Source organism: Homo sapiens, chromosome 15 (assembly GCF_000001405.40).
Source record: "Homo sapiens chromosome 15, GRCh38.p14 Primary Assembly".
Lineage (NCBI taxonomy): Eukaryota > Metazoa > Chordata > Mammalia > Primates > Hominidae > Homo > Homo sapiens.
In genome coordinates, this window is record NC_000015.10 from 49,857,021 (window position 1) to 49,883,586 (window position 26,566).

The 26,566-nt window shown below is 39.0% G+C and overlaps 1 protein-coding gene and 1 long non-coding RNA gene across 45 annotated transcripts in view; one reads left to right on the forward strand and one right to left on the reverse strand.

Moving 5' to 3' along the window:
• Positions 1-1,217: 1,217 nt before the first annotated feature.
• Positions 1,218-26,566, reverse strand: part of ATP8B4 (ATPase phospholipid transporting 8B4 (putative)) — a 323,617-nt gene continuing 298,268 nt past the window's right edge. For 42 of the 43 annotated variants that reach the window (NR_073597.2, NR_073596.2, NR_073598.2 and 39 more), the window contains 5 exons: positions 22,356-22,439; positions 19,258-19,503; positions 9,326-9,464; positions 5,225-5,355; positions 1,218-3,455 (listed from right to left, as the gene is read on the reverse strand). Coding sequence is in view for 40 of the 43 variants with exons in the window: in XM_011522056.4 (XP_011520358.3) it covers positions 3,174-3,455; positions 5,225-5,355; positions 9,326-9,464; positions 19,258-19,503; positions 22,356-22,439 (882 nt within the window). In the remaining 3 variants the exon portion in view is untranslated. The other variant, XM_024450068.2, reaches the window with a different exon arrangement.
• On the forward strand, positions 20,279-26,503 carry LOC102724587 (uncharacterized). Of its 2 annotated transcripts, none has more exons than NR_187946.1 (3): positions 20,279-20,408; positions 23,565-23,673; positions 26,143-26,503. It is a non-coding gene; the product is annotated as an uncharacterized LOC102724587 (long non-coding RNA). The 2 variants fall into 2 exon arrangements; NR_187945.1 differs by having other exon boundaries at positions 26,198-26,503.

The window sequence follows — 26,566 nt, forward strand, 5'->3', positions numbered from 1 at the left end:
AGACAGCAGTGCATCAGGGGCTAGTCTAGAGAAATACAAACCAGTACAACAGCCTGAAGAGCCAGGCCCTGCCCTCAAGAGAACATCCAAGTCAGTTTCTTCTCTCTCTCTCTCTCTCTCTCTCTATATATATATATATATAGAAAATCTGTCTCTCTAACAAAGGCAATTGCAAATACACAACAGACAACACTGACAAGAACAGCTCACAGATTGGGTAAATGAGAAAAGGGCTTTAAGACCATCCTGTCCCAATTTCTCTATCAATGGACAAGGACACCAAGGCCTGGAGAAGTCAGGTGGCATGCCCCAGCTCACACAGATCAGCACCATCACTGTGACAGGAAGCCAGGGCTCCCGGCCCCCATTCTGGTAAGATTTTCTTGTTCTCACACAAGATGTGAAGGAAATTTTACTATTCAAGAGTCAAATATAATCCACTTTTTTTTTCTTTGAGGGATTACATTTATTTTTCAGAGAGTCAGATTATCTCAAAAAAACATATAACTGGAAAACTCTTTTCTCCCTCCCACCATCCTTTCCTCCATTACTTTTTCCTCTCTTGCTTTATCTGTCTTACTTTCTTCCTTCCTCTCTCTCTTTCTTTCCTTCATAAGTATATACATCTGGAGGCAGAGGAGAGAGCCAAAGATAGCAGAGCTAAGTCAGGGAAACACAATTTGCAATTACCTATAATAGCTCAAAACTTGGGCTGAGATTTTAAAAACACAAGATTATCAGCTTAAATCTAGAAAAAATAGTTTTTCTTTCCAAATAATTTGATAACATTTATGTAAAATTAAAATGTTATTATTCCCCAGTGCCCCCACCATCACTACCCACCTCTCATCACTTTTCATCTTCAGGTTCAAAATAATCCCTGGCGCTTGTAATTGAATGATCTCGCAATGGGTGTGTGAGTTTACTTGGATCTCATGGGGCCAAAGTAAGCTGATAATATGTTTCTCTCACAATCATCCACACTATTTGTTTATAAACAGCCTTATTTAATTTAAACTGGACTTGCAAAATTGGACCACTTCTAATCTTTCCTATCCCTTACACATAGGTCCAATTGTTTCATTTTATTCTTGACTCTGATTCTAAGAATGAGTACATTTTCCCCAGCATGTAAAGGAGAGAAAAAAATACCCGTGGACTAATGTAACAAAAATCTCCCCAATGAATTTCCCATAAAGAAGAGATAAAACATCAAGTACCAATAGTGCCAAAACATTTACTGAAAGTTTTCAAATCTTGCAAAAATGTTACAAAAAGTGAGCAAATGTGGTGAAACTAATGACAAATTAGACATTGAAAACCAACATCTGGTTAAGTGTAGGCAGGCATGTAAGGGAAAGACAACGTCCATAGGCAGTTACTATGGTAAAGGACTGCATTTGACTCTTTTACACATATTATTTCATTTGATCCCATTTAGGAAAGATTATCCCAGACTTGAAAATTTTGGTTTTAAAAAATTGTGACCTATAGATATCACATTAGCTCATTATCCATCAAACTCACTCAAGTGTCACCTGACTCTCTTGGGAAATGTAACTTTGTCTGACCAAGAATTTAATAGGGACCAGATTAAGGACTCTGTAGAATTAGAAGTTGATTTGTAGAAAACCATTAAGACATGATGCTTTATTTTTGCTTTCTGGTAGAGAAATGTACCTCCACGGTTATAATTTTATTTCCCTGTAGGACCCTAACCAGTTTTATATCTTTCTGGCAATTTCATTTTATCAAAGCCTTCCTCACTGACTATTTAGATTCCAGTTTTTTCATATTCTCTTCCAATTGCTCTGTTATACTGATGTTGAGTTAACTGGAACTTAACTCATCTGTTTATGAAATAATTATGTTTTTAATAATTTCAGAGTTTGTGCTTTGACAGACAATCATCAACCAACCACATGAGGTAGGTAGTATGTCCTCATTTTACAGAGGAAGAAACTGAGTCTCAGAGAAGGCACATTATCGTCCAAGTTTATAGAGGTAAGAAGTGACAGAACTGAGGTTTTCACACAAATATGCCCGAATCACTTTATGGAAAATACACTGATGATTCATATGTGGACTGAAATTTGAGCTGCAACATCTCCAAAAAAACAACCTTACCTACATATGTTTACTACATGTTTGAATTATAAACATGACAGCTGAGTATCAAAAGCAACTAATTTTAAACAATCTAAACCTGAGTTTTTAAATAGTAATTAAAACAATTATTTATTAATTTGTTTGGCTTCAATTCTGAAGCTTTAAAAATTGGAAATGTTGAAAATATTTGCCCATAGACTATGTGGAATATTATCATTAAAGTGTGAAATTCCAGTGCTTTGCTGATTCTATTAATGGTCTGGATGATGCTCAGCAAATTACTACTGAGGTTGTTAGAAAAGCCATTGAAAAGTATTTAGAATACTTAGTGGCGAGCCTCTCTCACATTTCATAAGCATGTCCTTACATGACACAGACTGAGAGCTTTTTGAATAAATTTGATCAAATTACCAGCCTATCCTGCTGCAAAGATGTTCAGTCTCCTTTGTCCCTAGACTGGTATAAAAATGAGAAACACAAGCACACTTTTGTATTCTTCAGGCTTGGAAGCCATTTGTTGTCCTGGCTGAACAGACAGGTAGATATCAAGACTAAAGAGTGACATGCAACTCAGTCTGAAAGCAACACAGTACACGCTTTAAATTTTAAAAGTATACCTTGGGAAAGGCTGATCTTACAGATACATGTTTATCTGTCAATAGGCATGCTTTTCAGCTTGGATATATACCTTTAAAATGCACCCTTTTATCCGCCTGAGGATCCATTCAGTGAATATGCAGCTTTACAAGTTTTTCTCCATAAATAAGATTCTAAAGTTCAGGTCAATTGGTATCTAGGTTGATTTAAAAAAAAAAAAAATCTGTACTTGTAACAGCGAGTGTTTTGTCCACCAAATCACAAACCAGACAGTGACCCTCTGGCCTGGTTTTCCATAGCGCACACTCCTGTTTGATGGGCACTGGCAGTTGTCTGCCGCAGATTTAAGTTAAGTGAGGCAATCTGCCTGCCCCACCTCTTGCCTCAAATCTCAAACTCTGGAGCCAGCAGAATTTCAGCTCCACCTGAAGTGAAAAGATAACTACGTGGTTTAAATTCATATTGACTCACAGTTTCACTGTTTTATCCTGGCTAAAGCTGCTCACGGTGTCTGTGGTTTTCTTACATAAATTTTCAATCCAGCTAGTGCTATTATAATGTGTCTTTTCCAGCCCTGATGTTGGGGGTGGATTTTTAGCTCGCATATTTTTTCCAGATGTGATAAGCTCTCCATAGCCTTCTTGGTGAGCAAAAGCATATCCAGACCTTCTTGAGCTTGACCTGCGGGTCCGAGGCCTTCGGCTACTTGGAGGCCTTGCCTTCTTTTGAGCCTTCTGCCACCGGCGGATCTGGAGAGAAACAGACCCAAAGTGAGATGATGCATCCAAATGATAGACTCCAGGCAGTGGCCCACTTTGTAAAGTGAAAGCCTTTTTTTTTTATAAGTAAAAACAACATTGCAAAAGGAAGTTTTAAATCTAAAAACTAAGAAATTTTCCACCCAAAAGATAACACTGGGGGGGCACTGGTCCATTTTTATCTCTATCGAGACACTATTAAGTAATTAAGAAATATCAGACAAATTTCATTATTGTCTCTCATGTATCTTCAATGCATATGAGCATACATTTGTATAGAAAGATTTTCTAACATGCACCGCCCAAAGTCAGCATAATAATTTATAATTTCATTCTCCCAAAACAGCCTTTTTCCTCTCTTTTAGAGATTCTCTGGATCCAACAGTTGTCAGTAACTGGACTAGAAGAAAATTCAGAAAATGAGTCAGAAATATTCAATTCTTGTGGTAGCTCAACGTATCATGAGACTTCCAGGGTTTTGATTTCTTAGGTTTGTATGGCCTTTCTAAATGTTCCCTATTATGTGAGTAGGTTTCCCACAACTCTTTCATTCCCCTGTAAAGCTAAGGAGAAAAAGACCTGAGGTTTGCTGTACTCTTTCATTTCCCTGTAAAGCTAAGGAGAAAAAGACCTGAGGTTTGTTGTAAGCAACCTTGTTCTCTGGTTTGGCAAATCACTTGGATCCTGACTTTTGTGTCAGGAGAAAACCATCAAGCAGAACATCACGATCAAACTTATCGGACAAACAAGCACATCCTTCCTTCCTTAACTCATCCGCCATTTTCTGGGTTTATGTCAGAATGAGCTTGGAGAACCAAAGAGAGAGGACAGATATGACAAGGGACTCCGAATTTTTCCGGAAGGAATCTTTTTACACTTTGGTCCCAAAATGTCAGAGACATCATGATTAAAAAAAAATGTGTGTGTGTGTGTGTGTGTGTCTGTCTGTCTGTCTGTCTGTCTGTCTGTCTATCTATCTATCTATCTATCTACCTACCTACCTACCTACCTACCTACCTCAGTCTCTCTCAGCATCACTGGCCTGGTCCCACTCACCACAGCAGCATGTTCCCCCTTCTCATGACATGGCTATGAATGTTTGTCTCCCTTTCTCCTTTTCACGCTTTATCTGAGTCCTGACCTAAGTTGATATTGTCCTACTTACTCCTCTTCCCATGAAATTCTGAAATATGTTCTGTTAATTCTCCAGTTAAGGAATTTCTATAACCTGTTCTTCCTATTTTCCTTCCAAGTGTACTAATCTACCCAGCATGCTGCTCTTCCCCTTCTTAATCTGTTCAGAAGGTAACATCTCACCCATGTTTCTGAATCTGCTACTGGATTTCTACAAAAATGTTAAGCCCCTTTGACTCATACCATGCTTGTCTCTCTTTTATTGTGCTTGTACTTGCCCTCAAATCAGTATCTTTTCCTATAGCTTGCCTTTCCCTTGGAAAAATTGTCCAAAATGATGCCTGTGATCTTCTTTTTAAAAGTCAGCTTTTTAAAATACCCAGTTCAACTTGTAATTTATGACTCCCCATCCACATTTAGTATAGATGCCTCTCTTCATGGCACTAAGGACTAGTACATTCAAGATGTGGGAAGTCCCATCTATTCTGATGTGATCTCATGCACCAGTAGGTGTTTGCTTGTGACAATTTCATTAGCCCATCTCTGAGCTTCCAATAAGGCAGAAAAGGACACCATTTCAAGAGCCAAAAACCAGCCTTCAAGTATTCATCAGCACTGTGACATACCTGATCACTCAGGGTTGGGTATAAATCCACCTTCAAAAATCTGAATGCCACCACTGGCATAACTGAAGCCACTGTTGTTAAGAGAATTACAAGCCAGATGCACTTCTGGGTCAGGGAATGTCGTGCATTACCTATCAATCATTAAAGAAAATATACACTGTGGTTACAAGTAGGACTGAATTATTAATTAATAGGTTCTTTGTTCCTACAAGATCTTTTTTTTTTTTGAGATGGAGTCTTGCTCTGTCTTCCAGGCTGGTGGAATGCAGTGGTGCGATCTCAGCTCACTGCAAGCTCTGCCTCCTGCGTTCATGCCATTCTCCTGCCTCAGCCTCCTGAGTAGCTGGGACTACAGGTGCCCGCCACCACGCCCGGCTAATTTTTTTTGTATTTTTGGTAGAGGCAGGGTTTCACCATGTTAGCCAGGATGGTCTCGATCTGACCTCATGATCCTCCTGCCTCGGCCTCCCAAAGTGCTAGGATTACAGGCGTGAGCCACCACGCCTGGCCAAGATCTTTTTTCAATGGTGAGATTTGGATCACCTAATGTCACCATGATGATAAGAAGGCAGAAGTGCTAAGATCACCCTCAGGAACGGCTTAGTGGCCTGATCACTTAGAGATTACCAGCCTGAGCCAAGCATTCTCTCACCCAGGCTCAGTCTAATATCACTCACGGAGCACAATTCTCTCTTCCAGCATCAAGATCTTGTGGTTACAAAGCAGCCATTATTTTTAAAAGGCACATTTACCCTTTACCCTTGTGGACTCTTGAATTAAAACTATCACATCAAAGCTACACAAAAAATGTTCCAGATGCAGGTACAATCTCAAGTAATGATCGCATTGATTGGCTTGTCATAAAAGGGGAGCTTTATCTATTGCAGGACCAACTTTTTAATTTCAGGCAATGGCCCGAGAAAACCTGCCTCAGAGGAACTTGTTATTTCTCTATTGTTCACTTGGTTATGAAGTCCTCAAAGTTCCAAGATCAAGAAGGCTCCTGGGTTTGTGAAAAGAACATTCCCTCACCAGGAGACTGTTGATGCAGCCATCCAACATGCTAGGGCAATAGGACAGTGAAACTCATTTCCAAGCCTGAAGCCAGTTTCCTTACTTTTTACTCACACCTCACATACCCCATTGTGGGTTTAAACAAGGCAATACGGGTCAGTAAGGCAGGCAGACAAGCTCCATGGGAAGATGCCAACCCTGCTTATATCACCAAAATAAACTTTTGTCCCTGTTCATTTTCTAGAGATTTATCATCATACCCCCAGTTATCCAGGTCCCCTATCCCAGTATTCAAAGCTTACCACCATTCAAATGCGCTTTGGGTATGAGGGCTTGGCTACTGAATGGTATGTCTGCTTTTTCTGGCTTTAGAGACAGGAATCTGCCTACCCAAGAGCAGCTGATTCCAGTTGCCTTCAGCCATGGGCAGAAACAAACTTGACTTAATCAATTAAATGTCTCTTTGAGCTCCTTGAAGCTTGGTACCCTCAGGCATGGCTGGGAAAACAAGCTTCACTTTGAAACCACACTCCTGTTTGCTGCTAGCTACTAAGGAAAAAAAAAATTTTCCTGAAACCCCAATGTTGATCTAACTTTTAAAAAATTTCACTGGAGCTCAGTAATTAATTACTGAAATGGCTTGTGCTTAGCTGGAAAAGAGTGGTCCCTGCACAAATTACTTTCTCCAGTTGAGGCATTCTAGTCTCATTATGCATCACAGTGCTCTCTTAGGACTGGAAATCTTCTAGTCAATACACTGAACTTTTCATTTTGGCAAACGATCTTAAAAAAATAAAACAAAAATAGTTTTGGTGTCTTTGTTTCCCAATATGCTCATTCTTACTCATGACCAACATGTCTCTACATAGTTGGAATCTTTTGGTAAACAACGTATTACCAGTACATATTAAGTAAGAGTGGTGCAACTTAAAGATTTCCATTTACATGTAGGAAAAGGCAAAAGGTGAAGAACATTTTTAAGTGTATGCGTGAATTTAAATTGAATTACAATTTCAGGTGCCTTTGCATCAATGTGGATTTGTAACCTTACTAACCTTATAATCCTATTTTAGTCCTTGTGGTCTTATTTTGCTTTCTACATAAATTAGTCCAAGAATTTACTTCCTCAATTAGTGGATACAAATCTCACTCTTGCCTGATTAAGTTCAAGAATGTTGGTCACTGCGCATCTCTCTTTTCCAGTTTGTTTAGATGAACTCGGTTAGCAGCTTATTTCACACACACTAGAGATTTCAAAACCTCTGAGAAAGTATATTAATATCCCTCTTTTATAAAGCTCAGTGGCCTTTGCTGGGAATCATTTTGAAATGTGGAGTGCAATGATGGTATACCCTATACATAGACCAGAGGTATACTCTTTGTAGAATAATAGAATCTTTTTTAAGGGATTTTAGAGGGTCCTTTGCTACTCATCTGATGTTCAAATTCCTCTGCAATCTTCCCACCAGTAATCGAGCCACATTTGCATGAATAATAATAATCACCATCACCATGGTTAACATTTAAAAAGTACTATGTACCAGGATACATGCTAAGTGCTTTATATGTATTATTTCATTTAATCCTCATAAATTTTCCATGAAAATAGGCTTATTAATATCCTCAGTTTATAAGTGAAGACATTAATGCATAGTATAATATTGTGAGCTGTATGTTTGGTCTTCTTCTCTGTTTTCTGGCATAGATTTAAAACTCCTTGAAATCCTCAGTGATATGTGTCTTTTTATTTGTTAATGAGTTGACTGATGGCTGGAAGTCCCTAGGTAGCTTCAGGATGGGGGCTGCTCATCAGAAAGACTAAGGTAGGATTAGAGGGTTGGGAGTTTCAGCCCCAGCCTCTAATCTCCTGGAAGGGAAGAGGGACTGAAGGTTAAATTGATCACCAATGGCCAATGACTTTATCAGTCATGCCTATATAAAAAATGCCTCCATAACAGCCTTAAAGAACAGGGTTCAAAGAGTTCCTAGATAGCTGAACATGTAGAGGTTCCTGGAGGGCAGCATGCCTGGAAAGGGCATGGAAGTTCCACGCCCCTTCCTCCACACATTGCTCTATGCATCTCTTTATCTGTATCCTTTGTAATATCCTTTATAGTAAACCAGTAAATGGGTCTCCCTGAGTTCTTTGAGCCACTCTAGAAATTAATCAAACCCAGGGAGGGGGTTGGGGGGAAACCCCAATTTATAGCCAGCTGGCCAAAAGTAGAGGTAAAACATCCTGTGGCTTGCTACTAGCATTGGAAGTGTGGGGGCAGTCATGCGGAACTTAGCCCTCAACTTGTAGGATCTGACACTCCCTCCAAGGAGATATTGCCGGAATTGAATTGGAGAACATCCAGCTGGGGTCCTCTGCAGAAACACCTCATTGGTTGTTGGTGGGAAGAAATCCCTACTTCTCGATGACCAGAGGTCACAGAAGTCTTCTGTGTTGCTTGCTGAATGAGAGTATAGGAGAAACTGAGTTTTGTTTATTCCTATATATTCTCGCATGGAAAGAAGAAACTTGCCCAAAGTCACACAGCTTGTTAAGTGGCACAGCTGGCGCTTGAACCCTGACTGACTAACTACAAAGCCTACTCCTCATGCCACTTATGGATTAATGTCCAGGAATTTTTAGAAGGCTCTAAATTATACATTGTTTCATTCTTATCTAAATGCAAATAAGTTCTATGGGTGAATTTTGGCAGATGTTGGTGATAATGTGGCATAAAAGGAGAGTCTAGTATTTCTTTTTCTTCTCTCTACCATATATGAGCATTTGACAGGTCTTCAGGTAGCCCTAATGTATGTGCTATGCCTCTCATTTGCAAAGAGACAGCCTACTACATGTAAGCTGTTGAGAACCTGTAAGCTACTGTGAGTGATTCTTCTGCATCCAGTAGAGACAGCAGAAACTGAGCTTTTAGAGCCACTTTTAAACTCGGAAGCCTTCAGATGCCTGGCTCAAACAATTTCTGGACAAAGGATCACTAATCATCCCCAGCTCTACCTAACACAAAAAATAAATTATAAGACAAGTAAACAGCAGCAGACACTAGGTTCCACTAGTCAACATGACTCACTTACCAACAAATGGAAACTGGTTTGGGAAGATGCCAAAGATGCCATTACTGTGCATTGTAAATAAAATGGAGAAATAAATGGCAATGCTCCCCCAGATGAAGACGTGATTAATGAAAGTCCAGTAACTGGTATCCAAGGCTATCTGTAAATAAAATCAAATGCAAACGGGAGGTCTTTGAGGATTAAAACAGCATCATTTTACCTCGTGATGTTTCGCGAGAACTGCCCTGTGGCAGGAAGTTTGCACCTGCCTAGTTGCCAAGCCAACCGCGGGCATCCCCACTTTCTGAACACACACAGGGGACTGATCTGACTTCATATTTCTGGTAGAAAATTGACTTTAGAACTTCTATACGCAAGCCATTATATCTGCCAAGGTCGAGTCAGAATCAGGAGGTAAGATGTTAAACATGTTAAACTTCTTTTAAGTGAGAAATATGAAAGCACAAGGGCTTATAATTTTTAAGTTACTTTACAAATGTCTCTCAAAACTTTTCTATTGGAAAAAAATTCTTTCTGTAATGGGCAAGTGCAACATTTTATACTCTGTAAGTAAATTTTCACAATACCATTTTTACACATGCATGATCTTTTTTACACCAATATCCCAACTCATTTTGATGATCCTTTCTCTTCAATTACTCAACTTATAACAAAGAAAATTCTTCAGCCTTATTTTGGCATAAAATTCAGAAACTGGGATTCACAATGGCCTGGAAGCATGGTCACGAGCTCTTCTTCCTTCTAGTAACTTGTTGCGGCAGCTCAGCTAGAAGAGTGGTCTGCTACTGGAGAATCAAGGACACCACTGGTAAATATGAACACTTGAGTTCTTCAGAGAATAAAAAAGTAGGTTCTGGTATCATTATTTGCATCTCATAGTTCCCAAGTGATCCACGTCCAAGTGAAGGTTTGTATTTCTAGTAGTTTGTTGCAAGACTAAAGATTTCTCATCTGTCTGAGGGGGCCCTACCTGCTTAGTAAATAGATCCCTCTCAACATGCTGAGACATACTTTCTCTTCCCACTTGTAATTTACTGTCCCTTAAAATGTTTCCCCATTAAAATGATGCTGGCAGCCTTTGATGTGAACTACAGGGTTTATAAAAGTACAGCCTTTTCTCCCCTCAGGAGGTCTGAAAACAGCCCTGCCATCCATGCCTCAGCAAAGACATGCCCGCTTTCCAGTTCATTTGGCTGCCAAGACATCTCACCAAAATCTCCAACTTTACCTTCCACCACCTGTTAGTTTAACACTCTCAAGAGTCAACGATAGCCTGATCTGTGTGGGTAAGAGTAGGCAAAGAAAAATTACAACCCATTTAAAAGGATTCAGCTGAAAAAGCAAGAATAGGTGGCTCCTATTGAAGCAGAACTAATAGAAGAGACAGACAAGCACGATAACAACAACAAAATATAATAAGACCCCGTAAGAAGATGCAATTAGGTCACAGAAAAAAATAATCTGAAAGAAAAACACACTATTCCTGAATTTAAAAATTCAACAGCAAAACCAAAGAATAGTCAATGAATAGAACTAAATTAATATTCTGGACAAAACAATACAAATAATATCTCACAATAGAGAACAAAGACTTGGAGACATGGAAACCATTTGCAAAAAGATATGAGACATGAATAGCAAATTCACAGATCTCAGATCTATGACTCCAATATACAAATAATGGCATTTTAGAAAGAGAAAAAGGAATAAATAGAAAAGTAACAATCAAAGAAATGACAGCAGAAAACTGCTCTGTGATAACAAATAGCATAGATTTTCAGATTGAGAGGGTCCTTTAGGTCCTATCCAAAGTAATGAAAGAAGATTCTGGTGACATAATCTTTTATACAGAGGAGGAAAAAGAATCAACCTAACATCAAACTGTCACAGTGAAACTGTGAAACAACACAAAATTGTTGAAACAACAACTATATAGTGAAGCAACAACAAAGTTCCTAAAGAAAAAGACTGACTCAAGGATCTTATGCTCGTCCAATATATCATGTAAATGTAAAGGCAAAGACAGAAAACATTAAGCTAAAAAGTATAACATCTCAATATCCTTTCTGAAGAAATTACTCAAGGATATTTCTGCACTGAAATAAAAATTAAAACTGTACAAAGACCTCAAAATAACAGAAGACAGGTCATAAAAATAGTGGTGAGCAATGATTCTTGTAAATAGTTAGTTCTAGATGAGTAATAATGTATGAGGGCAGTATTAATTTGGAAAAAAATGGGAATAGTCAGCAAATATGTTACAGGAGGAGCATTTAATAACATCCTGGAATTAAATTCTAAATAATTAACATGTAAGAGTTGGGGATGGGAGTAAGGACAAAGAAGGGTAAGTAAGATAAAAACATTGCCAAAACTGTTTAATTGAAGAAGCATAAGGAAAGGTTTAGAACAAGATAGTGAAACATTTGATGAAGGATAGAATTTCATATTATCTGTGGAGTTCCATTCTGCCAATATGGAAATATATATATTTAAATAACTATGAAAATAAAGAGAAATCACTAGTAAAATAAGAATATAATAGTAAAACTTGTAAGTTATTCATTAGAAATGGGATTTTTTTGTTGTTGTTGAGATGGAGTCTTGCTCTTGTCGCCAATGGTGTGATCTTGGCTCATGGCGACCTCTGCCTCCTGGGTTCAAGCGATTCTCCTGCCTCAGCCTCCTGAGTAGCTGGGACTACAGGCAGGCGCCACCATGCCTGGCTAATTTTTTTGTATTTTTAGTAGAGACAGGGTTTCGCCATGTTGGCCAGGCTGGTCTTGAACCTCCTGACCTCAGGTAATCCGCCCGCCTCGGCCTCACAAAGTGCTAGGATTACAGGCGTGAGCCACTGAGCCTGGCCAGAAATGGGATATTTTAAAACCATAATTAATGCATACAAGTATGAAAAAGTTAAAAAAAAAATTGAAAAGCAGAATTAAAAGTAATCAGAAAATAATATTAATATAGCATGATAAAATACAAGTTATTATAATAAAAATGAGTAGCTTAAACATTCTTATCAAGGAAGACTAATAGAATGAGACAAGAAATAAATGGAAATTAAGAAATTGGCCCAGATTATGTATCAGGCAAATGTAAACTAAAAAAAAGCAAGAGAAGAAAACTAATATAAAAATACAAAACTTAAGAATCTTTTATTATGAAAAAAGATAAAAACTACAAAGAAAAATTAACAATCAGAAACCATTATGTGGCAAAGATATAGCTTAAATTATATGAGGTAAAAATCTCTTTGAAACACACGGAAAACTTAATAGGAATCATAATCACAATGGCAAACTTTAATATGCTTTTCTCAGCATTTGACAGACATGATGGCAAAGGTGATGGTTCTTCTGGAAGTCTATGGCGAACCTTTTGGCAACCCGTCCCCAGGGTGATGACAACCAAGCTGTAAGGTGTAATAACAGCAGTGTTTCCACTGAAGCTACCTAATATGTTTTAATAAAGCTCTTTTTTTAGCTTAAATTTTTAAAGTGTCTGTCATTTGGAACTACTATCTTTTTGAGAACGTATTATGGCAATATTTATGAAAATTTTAAATGTACATACTCTCTGACCCAGTAATGAAAACAGCAAAATACCATTCTTTATCCAGCAGATTGGTAAAAATTAGGAGTTCTAACCCCAGAAGTCTCATTTCTAGGAACTTATCTGACAGTATATAAAATATATGTACTAATATATGCATTGTAGCATTGCCTTAATAGCAAAAAACATATAGAAACATCTTGTATGTTTATCAATAGATGATAAATACTTATACATTCATATTATGAATTTCTGTGCAGCTATTAAAACAATTAAGATAGATCTGAATGTGTTGATTTGGAAAGCTGACCAGAATATCTAGTTAAGCAAGAAAAGCATATTACAGAACAGTATACATAATTATTATCCCCTTTTGTTAAATATGTGTGTATGCGTCGTCTCAAAGTACAGAAAATGTATGGGAGGATTTAAGCTATGGTCATCATCATAGTAGTTAAAGAAGGGAAGGAAAGGAAGATGGTTCATTTTATTTTAAACACTTTTGTACTCTTTGAAATGTTTAAAAGAGCATTTTATAATTCAAATAATTGAAAAATACTTTTTTAAAAAAACAATAGAGACTACTTAAATTTGGCCTGTAGCATCAGCAGGACATAAGATTTATAACTGTAATTACAGACCATGGAAATTTCATGGGGTTGTTACCACAATGAAAAGTCAAGCTTAAACAGTGAGGAAAGGATATTAATGCTGCTGTCAAAGTGAGCTTATTCACAGAATTCCTTAAAGTTATTATTCTATATATTAAAGACCACAGTTTTTGATTGATTGAAGCCAAAATTGCCTAGCATCCATGGTTACAAACATTTACATACTTGGGTCTAAGAACTCTGGTATGGTAAAACAGACATTTTCAGGGCTTCCTAGAAATAAAAACAAGTGGTAATATTTGCCAAAGAATTAGACTGAAATGACAGAAGCTGGGAGTCTATATATTCCTCAAGTTGAAACTCTGCCATTGAAAGAAACACCTATGTGCTTGTCATCTATTAACCGTTTGTCTCCCATGTTAGCCAAGGGTGATACTGGTATCCTAGGTATTCCCACATGAGTGAGAGAGGTGGGGACCACGAATTCCCTGTACTTACTATGTGACTGGGGAGGCCCACAGCTTCTACTTATCTTTACAAAGAAGGGAGGTTCACGTAGCTTTGGAGCTGGGCATCTGGAGTTAGAAGACCTCTGTTCAAATCCTGGCCTACCACTTTTTGTATGACTTGGAATATAACTTAATCTTCTTGTTAAGTCTGTTTTCTCAATGGTGGTAATAGTACTTACATTTCATAGGACCATAAAGATAATTAAATGAGATAATGGGATTATCCCAGTATATGGCACAGTATCCAGTGTTTCCTTTACGCTCAGTATAAGGTTTGTTCTCATATTTCTTGAAAATTTTGTGTTTTAACCAGTCTCACTGTAGACTTTGTTCCAGATAACACTGGAATTAGACAGAACTGGATTCTCCTGGCTCTGGGACTTACTGTGTGACCTCAGGCAAGTCATTTAACCTCTCTGAACTTTATCTATAAAAGCAGCCCATAATATTTACTGCATAATGGCATCATGAGGAGCAAGTATAATGCATGGTATCACTCATGGTGGTGATGATGATACAGGTCTCTTACAGCTGCCATCAAGGACAGGCCTGCTTTGGTCATCTAGGTTAAGACAGACAGAGTTGAAGGATAGGTGGATAACACAACCAAATTATTTTCACTTCCTTTGCTCAATTTCAACCTCTCTCCTCATATCCCTTTGCCCCTGTATTCTTTAGCCCTGTGGTTTCCGTTAGGAATGCAGTGGCAACCAAAGCATGCCAGACACTGGAAGCCTCTACTCATTCTGCTTCTAGGCCACCATTTCTAGCCTGGATCTTTTCTAACCTCATCCTCCTCTCCAGAAAGTTATCCTCAATCTCCTAGCTGTTTTAGGCCCTCAAGCACTCAGAATTAATGGTGGGAGTGGGACTGGGAGTGAGGGCAGGGAGAAATTAGGTAGGGGAGAAAACAATGGGCTGGGAGTATATGGATAAGGTATAGGGAACTTCAACCCTGTAACGTGGCAAAGTGATCCCAGCCACAGAGGGGTGACAAGCAGCACCACCTCTTTTAAAGTACACGACTTTCTGTCTGCATTGCAATGATGAGGATTACATTCCACTGCTTCCCAACTATGCCTAACTACCCAAAGCCCAGTAATAATTGTGCTGTAGGAAATGCTTGCCTCAAATCTTTAACAGAATAATCACAGATGCCTTTATTAAAGAACATCGACTTGGGAAATCAGACTGTTGGATCTTAGTGCTAAACCTGCAATGTTGTCACTGTGTGATCTTGGGCAAATCCCTTATACCTTTGGGGCCCCTATTATAGCAATTTTATTTAAAATTACACCTGCTACAGTTTTAACATATAACCACTAATTCTTTGATACTCCTTCCTCTAGGAGGTAAAAGTTAATTCTCCTTCTCTTGAATGTAGGTTGGACTCAGCGACTTACTTTTAGGCACTAGAGTATGGAAAGGGAAATATAGTCAGCTTACAGTGGAGAAACCTGAAAAACATCATTGTAAGCAAGTAGTCAAGATTAGCATCACCTGTATAAATCATGTTGCTATCATGTGCTCCCTGATAGATGAGACAAGAACACATCACTCTTTGTGATTCTTTCCCCAAATCCACAACCTCAGTCTATTTCTAAGAAAAAACATCAGAAAACCCAAACTGAAAAACATTCTACAAAATACCTGGTGACCAGTCTTCAAAAGTGTCAAGGTCATGAAAGACAAGCAAAGACTATAGAACTGTCAGAGATGGGAGGAGACTAAGGAACATGACCACTAAATTCAATGTGGGATCCTGGATTGGATCCTGGATTGGATCCTAGAAGAGAAAAGGGTAATTAATGGAAAAACTGGAGAAATCTGAATCAAATCTGTGGCTCAGTTAATAGTATTATACCAATGCTAATTTCATAGTTTTAACAAATGCACCATGGTGAGGTAAGATGTTAATATTAACATCAGAGAAAAGCTAGGTGAGGGTATGCAGGAACTGTCTTTGCAGTATCTGCAACTCTTCTACAAATTTAAAATTATTCCGAAATTAAAAGTTTTTTAAAGAAATTATTCCTGTTTGAACAAGATGTATTCATTATTTCCCAAGCAACAAAAGGTTATCCATTTTTTAATTATAAAATAATTCAAAGTAATACTCTAAATCAGTGAAGGGCTGCTGAGAAGGGTAATTTGCACCCTTCAGCTGAAAATGATACAATCTATTTGGAAAGCCATTTGGCAATATGTGTCAAGTGCCTTAAACTTCCTTATGTCTTCTAGCCCAGAATTCCCACCTTTAAGGAGATAACCTTAGAAAATAACTAGAGGATCATGCTGAGAATTATGTACTACATGAAACTTTGCCATTGTATCATTTGCCATAGTGAAATGTAGACGCAATCTAACAGCAACATGGTTGAATAAATTATGGCATATTCATACGGTGGAATACTACAGCCATTAAAAGGGATATTTCAAAGAATATTTTATAAATAAGATAAATGCTTGTGACACAAAGTTAAGTGAAAAAATAAGACATAAAATTATATATATATAATCCGATTTCCATTTTTTTCATGCTAACCCTGATTTGTGATTACATGTGAATTTTAATTTTTCCCTGCATTTTTATGCTTTTCTTGAATTTCCTGCAATGTATTCCTTTTATAATAAGACTAAAAGGATTTTGTGTTTTTAGGGCAGAGGCTCCACAGGTACATACATGGCCTAAGTTTCTGCCTGGCTGCAGGAGGTGTGGCGACCGCAGCACATCCCACCTTCTGAGGCCATGCAGTACTTGACTCTCCCTGCACTGCCTTGCTTTTGAAGGCATCTAAAATCTCTCACTTTTCCCCATACCACATTTCACAGCTGGGTCATTCTGCTGGACTCAGCACAGGAGGACCCTCTCTCAGACTGGTTGGAAACTTTGGGCACATTTGAAAACTGTCAACACAATCTGTAAACACATCAGTTATAATGATTCTTTCCTAGGAACTTGACACACCCAGATGAACTCTCTTGTTATGACAGGATCAGTAGCAGGAGAATTTCCTCTCAACATCTCCCTCATTTATTCAATACTCAAGAAATATCCATTGTGTGTCACACTAACAGGTGATGTGCTCAGCTCTGGGTATACAGCGATTAACAGACATTTCCACTGCCTTCGTGAAGGTTACACTCTAGGAGGTAGAAAGACATTAAACGAGAGAACACACCACTAAATTTGTACTTACAAGGGGAGATGACAACTATGAGATAAAATAATTGATTTCTATTCCACTAGAGAAAATAAAGGGGCCTTAGTTTAAATGGATCCAGGGAGGCCCCTCTGAAGAAATGACATGTGAGGGAAACTGAGAGAAGAATGTTCCAGGCAGGAAAGAGCAAAGCCATAAGGCAAGCAAGAGACTGGTGAATTCCAGGAGCAGAACAAAAGCCAGTGTGGCTGGGGCGTGTGAGTAATGGGATTGGAGGGATGGCTAGGACCACTATTGTCCTTGAGGAGATGGAAGGCAGAGAATAGATTTTGAAGAGACAAATGGCCATTAAGGTCTGAAGCAAATGGATTTGGATTTCCTCTTGCAAAACATCCTGAATGAGGGGCTAATGGTTACTTTGAGCCTAAGGTGTGAATCCTCTCTGAAAAAACATGGATATCATTCTATATCATTCTTATAAAACTTGGATAATCAAGGGTTAGAAATTTCAAAAGTTTATTTTAAAAACTTCAAGCGACAAGAAGTCACTTGAAGCTTTTAAAATAAACTTTTGAAGTTCTGTAATTTTTTCGTGACTAAACAATGTTTTTAAAATGTGATAGTTTCTGTGGGCTCTCAACTTGTGAGAAAGTAGAAATGTGATTTCAACATTCAACTGGAATAAGAACTGTATGTTTTATGAGAAAAACAGCTTCTAAACATAAAGTTAATATAAAAACATGGCACTGGCACTATTGTAATAGCACATAAAACAAATTATGGGCAAGCAAAAAAAAAGAGAAAAAGATGCATGGGCATAACAGCAGGCTTTTTCTAAAATTATAAAGATTAAGTTAACCAAAAATTGTAGGGTTAATTGTGAACACCAGTTTCACACACACACATCTATCCATGTACACATGCACACACACATACACACAAACATTTAATGCTTGTTACATGTCACACCTACAATGACTCTTCCAGGTAATTTATTACCCTTACTTATAAACAGATCATGTTAACAGGACAGTATGAAGAATGTTTTCTATTTGCTGCTTCTTCAGATAGTGGCCTTTTATTTCAGTTACTACCTTTCAAATAATCTCTTGGAGTACCGAGGAACAGGTCTGAGCCAGAGGTGAATCAGCTGTTACCACTAAAAAGATGTCCCTGTACACCCCACCACTGTCTTCTCTATGGAAGGAGAATCCAGAGAATTGGAAATGTACCCTCATGACAGAGAAGATCACCTAATTATTAACAGTTTGCTCAGTAATCAAAAGACAACAAAATAAAACAGAGGTCACATAGCTTGCTGTACCTACTCGGAGCTACAGATAGTAATAGAGGAAAAGTTTTTCTAACTATGTGCGGTGATGCATGCCTATAATCTCAGCCACCTGGAGGCCAAGGTGAGCAATTACTTAAGCCCAGGAGCTCTAGACAAGCTTGGGCAACATAGCAAGGCCTCCTCTCAAGAAATAAAAGTTTTTGTGAACTCTAACTCAGTATCTAATGGCATTGACCACATTCACAGTAAAAAGGAAATAGAGACACAACTCAAGATGGAAGAAGGTCAATGGAACCTCAAAAAATCATCCCCACCAGAAGAGCTCCTCTGAGTGTGAGATTCGGATATGCCACAGATATAGCATTGAACCTCTTGAATAACTCCATAGAAATGTATTGCCAAGCAAACTTTAGATCTCACTTTAAAACCTGGCAGTTATTAAGTCTTAAAGAAATCATGGGAAAGTTTCTCCTTCTGTTATTGGAATTTTTTTTTTCTTCAAATACAAGAAGGAAATAATAGTATAATCATTTCTCTTTACATACAATGCACAACCCAAAGAAGTGATACATTGTGAGGTTTCTACTAACATGAATGTTACAGACGCCTAATGCTAATTCTCCCCAGTAATTTATGTTAAAGCTTCCTGCTTTCATCTCAAAATGTGTACTTAAAAGGACAGCCCCAGTATTCCTTTAGGATTATTTCCCCCCAACAAGTAGACAAAATCAATCAACAATGAAATAGTAAAAGTTGTAAACCCATCAAGTTAAGGTGCTTACACCGACAGCGTTACCTGCACACTGACCACAATGACCAAAGATGTGGCCATGGTAACTGCAAAGGACTGGTAGTCAGCAATATGTTGCCCATCTTCTCCAGCCACGTTGTAAAAGGCCCCATAGGGGATGAAGAAAAGGACTAATGAGGTGTAGATTCCATGCAACACGCAAATGAAAAATTTACGCTTGTTAAAAAGCAGATTCAGCTGTCCTGGTTTGTAGAGCTGGGGACAGTCCACGCTGTTCTGGTCACTCACATCCTGTAAACAGAGTGTAATTTCAGTGGAGAAGGATTAAAAAGAGTCAGAGAGGCCTTGTATTCCCTATCTTCAGAAATAGCAAATGCCTGTTTAAACATGTCCTAAAATGCACTACTCACTGGGCCAGAACAGGACATTATCTTGTTTGTATTCCCACAATAAACCAGAAGATAATAAAATGATCTCTACTTTACAGAGAAGGAGCTTGAGTCTCCAAGAGAGATTCATGAGAGGTCACACAGCTCGTAAGTAGCAGAACCAGGGCTTGGTTTGAGCCTAGCTATTTGGCTTCAAATTGAAGTTTCTTTCCTACACTCTCCTGCAGGCTGTCAGAAGCATTCGTGCTCCCAGAATTCCAGCACATCATGTGCAGCCAATGGGCCCCAGAAGTTAATTGTCAAGGTAGTGAGTGGTAGTGACCAGGAGATGACAGCAGAGAGCTGTGGAGTCAGAATTGTCAAATCAGAGCTCATGACTTTGGAGGGAAGTGAGCAGGAAGAAGAGAGCAGGGAAAAGGGGAAACTGCATTTGGGATTCCAGGTGAGAAGGAGGCTGGGATGAGGATCCTACCCAGTGAGAATTTTAACAGCAGTTACCAGGTGTTCAGGACAAAGAAAGAATATAGACAGAATGAGAAGGTGGCACATTTGACACCAACCAGGTCCCAAGAGAAACTAAATGCTTATCAAACCTAATGTGCACACAAATCGCCTGGGAAACAGATTGTGATTCAATAGGGCTGAGGGCCCAAGACTGCATTTCCAGCCAGCTCCAAAGTAATGCTGATAACCACAGTGAGCACCAAAGCCAAATGCCAAAAACCAAAAAGGATGGCAAGAATCAACCACAGGGGACATCAGAGGACCACAGGTGGAGGAGAAGAGGCGAAAGTGGAAGCAACACAGGTGGTGAACTATTGTGGGAGAGGAACATTCCCCTTCCTGCTTGTGGGATGGCCCAGGTCTCTCCAAACAGAGTCCCATGGAAAAACACAGGCATATTCTCTTTAGAAAGTCCTGTTTTTAGATGCTTTTGGATGCTTGTTCCCCTAGTTCAGTGACTGAGGGTTATGTGCGCAGGCTTTGAAACAAGACAGTCATGAGCTCAATCCCTGGTAACGGGTTTAGCTGGTGTGTTATCTTAAACCTGTTACTTAATCCGCCTGAGCCTTGGTTTCCTCATGCCCAGAAATGCAAACAATAACACCTCCCACATGGAACTATCGCCATGATTAAACCAGTATGTAAAGTATTTAGTAGAGTTCTTGCCACATCGTAAGTAATAAATATGCCAGATGCTTCTATAAATAACAATTAATAAAATAATGATAATAACAACAATAGCAATAATGTAGCAACCTCAAAGTTAAGAGGCCTGGTTCTAGTCTTAGCCGTGTCACTTATTGGCTGTGTGGCTTTAGGGAAATGACTCTCCAAGGCTTGGTTTCTGCCTTAAAAAATGAGCAGATCTGTTGATGATTGCTGAGGCCTGTCCAGCATAGCATTCCACGATCCTGTGATCAGTTTAAGGGCCAAGGTTGACAAAGCAGGAAAGGAGAGAGGAGCAGACACTCAACTTGATGGTAATAGGAAGCCTTATTATATTTTTTTTGAATTGCACAATAACCATCTTTTCCCAGAAACTGCTTTATTTTTATTATTTTATTCCACATTCTGGGCAGCTACAAAGCTCCAAGAAAAGAAACACTTGTAAACATGGGCGCTGAGAAATGAATGTGCTTAATCCTTTACATCTAAGGTCTTCAGAAGTTCATTACTTTTTTGTATAATTCCAGAAAATATGCCTTTCGCAAACTGCCCTTTTTACATATGAGAAGGGAGACTTAACAACTGACTACAAAGCCAGCCAAATGGGAGACTGGAGTGAGCTCATAATGTGAAGATTTATATTTTGCAATAGACGGCTTTGGCCCAGAAAATGAGGCCTAGCAAATAGGTCTAACAACAGCCTGGAGAAAATGTGGTCTCCTTAAAAATACTTTTTTAAAAAACAAAAAGTCTTTTTAAAAATAAGACACTCTAATTGTGCCACGGAAATTCCACTGGCTAGTCTTTCACTTCCCCACAGGCAGCCAGACTTTTTCCCCTTTCCAGGAAGTCCCTTCCAAGGCTCTGAGTATGCCAAGGATCTACCATTTTTGTGATTGATCCTCTCCTTTCTCCCCACTCAAGCACATTGATGCTGGGACAAAAGAAATCCATGCTCTTTCTTTCCTTGGCCATGGAGCTTCTCATCCTCCTCTCCCACTGGCAGACTGCTCTACTGGTCTGTGGCTCCTGTTCTGGGCTGTGTGTAACAAGGAAGTCTCACTGCAGATGTTCGCAACAAGGGAGTCTCACTGCAGGTGTTAGCCCCCTGTGTTCCAACCTAGCCCCATGATTTTCTATCATTGCATGGTTCTTTATAAGCTCTCAGAGGCTAAGGCAGCATTTCCCCGTGTGTGAACCACAGACACTAGTTCTGAGACATATTAATTAATAGGTGCTATATGAAAACATATACAGTCATAGAAGTTTGGGAAATGCTGGGTTAAAATGAAGTTAAAGAGATTACTTCGTACAGGACTTCTAGAGCCTTTAGAGCAATCTATGGGGTGTGAACCTCTAAGAGAAGAGTAACCAACTTTTATCAAATAATGCTTTTGGGGAAGCTAGGGTATAGGGGTAAGGGAGGCACAGTGGACCTGGAAGCATGTGTGATCCATGCAAAAGCAACTAAAACAACTGCATTCCTAGGGCTGCTACTTAGAATTGTGTTTTCTACTTAGAACCCACAAAAAACTAAAAGGCATAAAAGAGAAACTAAGTTATAAAGATGGAAAAAAAACATACCTGGTCAAAAATCCCCATGGCTAAAACAGGCAGTGATGTGTAAACAATGTTAAAAAGGGTGATGAACCACTGGTCATAAACAGTCTGAAAAGAAATATAACATATAAGTGAGAAACATCATCCATAGTAGTGAGAATATTCACATTTAGGTTAAATAACCAGGTTTTCTGAGGTGGGTGGGAGTTGACTTTTGGAATCAGACAAATATGAATTCTTTCCTAGACCTGCCTCTTATCAGCTCTGGTGCCTTAATGGGATACTAGATCTCTCTAAACGGCAGTTTCTTTATCTCTAAAGTGATGTATACCCTTCCTGCAGTGTGGCAGTGAGGACAAAATAATACATGCAGCAGTACCCCTAACATAGTGCGGGACACGTATGAGCCCCTGACCTTGTGGTGGGTTGCCATTTTATTCTCCAGGTTTTCAGTGGCTTATAATGAGTCCAATTATCTGATCCAAGTGGTAAACAAAGGATTCACTAAAATCTTCAGAGATAAATATAGTAATAAGCCTGTTATTTCTATCCTGTGTTAAAATGGAGAGGTTTTTGCGGGGGAGTGGTTTAAAGCAAGATGGGCATAAATAGCAAAACAACAAAAATATCCCCTCACACCTTTGTAGACTAATTACACAAGAATTCCCTGCATGGGCCTCACTAAAAGTCAATGAGGCATGTGAAGCAGGCATATATCCCCATTTTGCCTATGAGTACACACAGTTGTGGAAACAGAACCTTTCGGTTACAGAGCTTATTATGGGCAAAAGCAAAAATTAAAATCAACTTAATTAGTTAGAAGGTAGTAAGTGCTAGAGAGGAAAGGGGATAGGGAATGTGGGAGGGCTGTAATTGTAATACAGCAGATTGAAGAAAGTCTCACTGAGAAGTGAATTTGAGATAAGACCTGAAGGAAATGGATCTAACATGCAGCTTTCTGAAACAGCTGGAAATGCTGGGACGTGCAGCATTCTATACTGCAAGTAGGCCCCATGAAACAACCCTAAGGCAAGAAAGCATCCACTATGCTCAGAGAACAGCAAGGTGGCCCAGTTGGGTAGAGCAGAGTGACCTGTAGGAAGAATAATGGATGTCAGGAGGTAAGAAGAACAATCCTATGTAACTAAACATGGCTTATTACCTAAGTGAAAGTAGAAGACATTAGAGGACTTTAAGCAAAGGAGCAACCTGGTCTTATTTATATTTTAACAGGATTACTCTGGATGCTATGCTGAGAAGAAACTGAAGACAATGGTGGAAGTGGGAAAGCTTATGACTCAGAATAACTATTTCTAATAACAAATTTTAAGTTCTCTTCATGGTAACTCTCCTTTGTTACTCTCTGATTCCTATTTTCATTATGTGGTCTAAACCCAGCTGTAAGGATTTAGAAAGGGGGACTATATCCAATGACATGCTGATAAATGTTTAACAACAGGCTAAAAAAAAAAAAAAGCCGGCCAGGTGTGGTGGCTCACACCTGTAATCCCAGCACTTTGGGAGGCCTAGGCGGGTGGATCATGAGGTCAGGAGATCAAGACCATCCTGGCTAACATGGTGAAACCCCGTCTCTACTAAAAATACAAAAAATTAGCCAGGCATGGTGGCGGGCGCCTGTAGTCCCAGCTACTCGGGAGGCTGAGGCAGGAGAGTGGCATGAACCCGAGAGGCTGAGGTTGCAGTAAGCCAAGATCACGCCACTGCACTCCAGCCTGGGTGACAAAGCAAGACTCCGTCTCAAAACAAACAAACAAACAAACAAAAAAAAGCCTTGATTTGTAGCATTTGCCAATTTCCATGGTATAAATATTCCTCCATGACTGATTTCAAGCAATGATGCCACTGAATGTGGAGTTGAGACATACTCACCATTATATAGTATTTCTACTATACAGACCCAATATAATCTCAAGAGCATAAATAGTAAAACATGGGAAAATAATTAGCAAGGGATTCATTTTGAGTATATTAACTGTCTTTTATTTTTAATATAACTTAAATTGTAAATTTATATAACGTTTAATAATGGCTGTATTTAACCACTGGCTCACAAAATTCATGAAAATTTAACAATCAGCTCTTGTGAATCAGTATGGGCCAGTTCCAAGATACCACAGCCTAGGTCCATGCTGGGAGCAAAGTGATACAAGACAGCTGCAGCCACGTGAAGGATAATGCACTCAATGTGGCATGAGAGAACCTGCAGCAGCTACCTGAAGGATAATGCACTCAATGTGGCATGAGAGAACCTGCAGAAGGGCAGGGCAGTAGTCCACTAGTCAGGCAACCATGAGAACAGACTGGAAAAGCTGGCTGGCACTCCCTGGAACCCCCCTGGGTATTTAGCAGAGGTATCTGAAAGAAGCCTGAATTTATCACACAGGATAGGGGGCACGTGCCATAATAATTGATTCATACCAAACCTCCTGCTGAAGATAACGAAAAAAGTTGAGAAAAAAACAAATGCATCTTCATCAAAGTACCAATGAACTAACAAGACAGTGGGGAATGACTTGTCAAGATCAAGAAGAGAATTAGAACTTAATAACTATCTCAAGGCCTAGGATAATGCGATCCTTCTCCAGACTCTATGTTTATTTCCTTCTATCAGCTGTCGAGGACAGAACGAAGGCCTGATATTTTCTGGGCTAGCCAACTGTCCTGCTATGGCAGAGTCTGTGACCTCACTGCTGGGAGGCTGCCTTTGGGTCCCAGCCCAGAGTAGGAAGGGTTTCATCATGATCTCTACCCTCGATAGGCACTGAACCTTCTCCCTTCAGCCCAGGAAACTACTGAAGGCACAGCTCAATCTGTCAGTTGCCTCCTGTAGATTATCAACATTCCCAAGGTACATGGTTCAGAGCAGTGCGACCCCACAGGGTCCCAGCCCAGAGCAGCAGTTGTGACAGGGTCCCAGTATCCAACTCCTATCTACCCTCAAGAGTCCACCAAAACTGCAGCTAAGCCTCTTTATCTTCCTTCTGATGAGTGAATGTGTCCAACTCTACTTCTAGATACATATGTTCACAAATGTCTATCTTCGTGCAGTGGGATACATATAAAAATACTCATAGCAGCATTGGTCATAATAGTCCCCAAACAAAAACAACCAAAACATCCTTCAAGTGTGGGATAAAGACATTATCATGTATCGATATAACAGAATACTATAGAATAATGAAAAGCAAAGAATTATAACTATATCCCAAAACAAATGAATAAAAACTACATATAATATTGAGCAAAAGAAGCCAGATGCAAAGGCATAATTGCATTTAAATACAGTGCAAAAGTATGAAAATCTATTCCTATGTTGTTTCGGAACTCCTAATCATATGGTAAAGTTATAAAACAGAAGAAATGTGACTATAAGATGGCAGGGTAATGGTCACCTCTAGAGGATTGGAAAGAGGTCTCGAGGAAAAGCAGGAGAGCTGTTGGGTGTTTGGAAATGTTATATTTCTTGCACTGGATCATGGTACATGGGTGTTCATTTCACAACAATTTAAGCTGATATTTATATACTTTTTAATATATTTGTTAAACTTTACCAATGATAAAAAATTTAAAAATTAAACACGTGACCTTCTTTTATAGTTATAGCCCAGTGAGATTTCAGAGAGTAGGAAGATTCCAAAAATCCTGATGCCCAGGCCACACCCCAGGCCAATTAAATCAGTATCTCTGGGAGAAGGATCTAAGTTTTGGTCATTTTAAATTTTTCCCAGGTAGTTCCAATGTGAAGCCAAGATTGGGAATTACACTCACTTCCATTTTTTTTTTTTTAAAGCAGAGCAGCTGACACAAATCTTCAACTCATTGATGATGGCATCTGACTGTTCCAGGTATTAAGAAGAGAGAAAGAATCTGAGAAATTATGGCGTACTCAACTGTGGACAGCTGAAAGTCTGGCATAGCGTGCCCTCATCATCACAAATGGGCTCGCATTACAAGCTACACTTATTTGACAACTATCAGCATTTGTCAACCGGCACTCAGATTTGAAGACTCATTTCACAGCTGGAGCAAGAGAAGACAGGAAGGAAAAATCAGAGTAAGGTTTCAATGAGTTTCTGCAAATTCTCAGAAGTTTTGCTGCCACTCAGTGTCACAATAACAAAAAGAAATAAAAATAGCTGATATTTACTAAACATCTACTCTGTGCCATTTTAAGTGCTTTACATATATCGGCTCATTAAATTTTAACAACCACA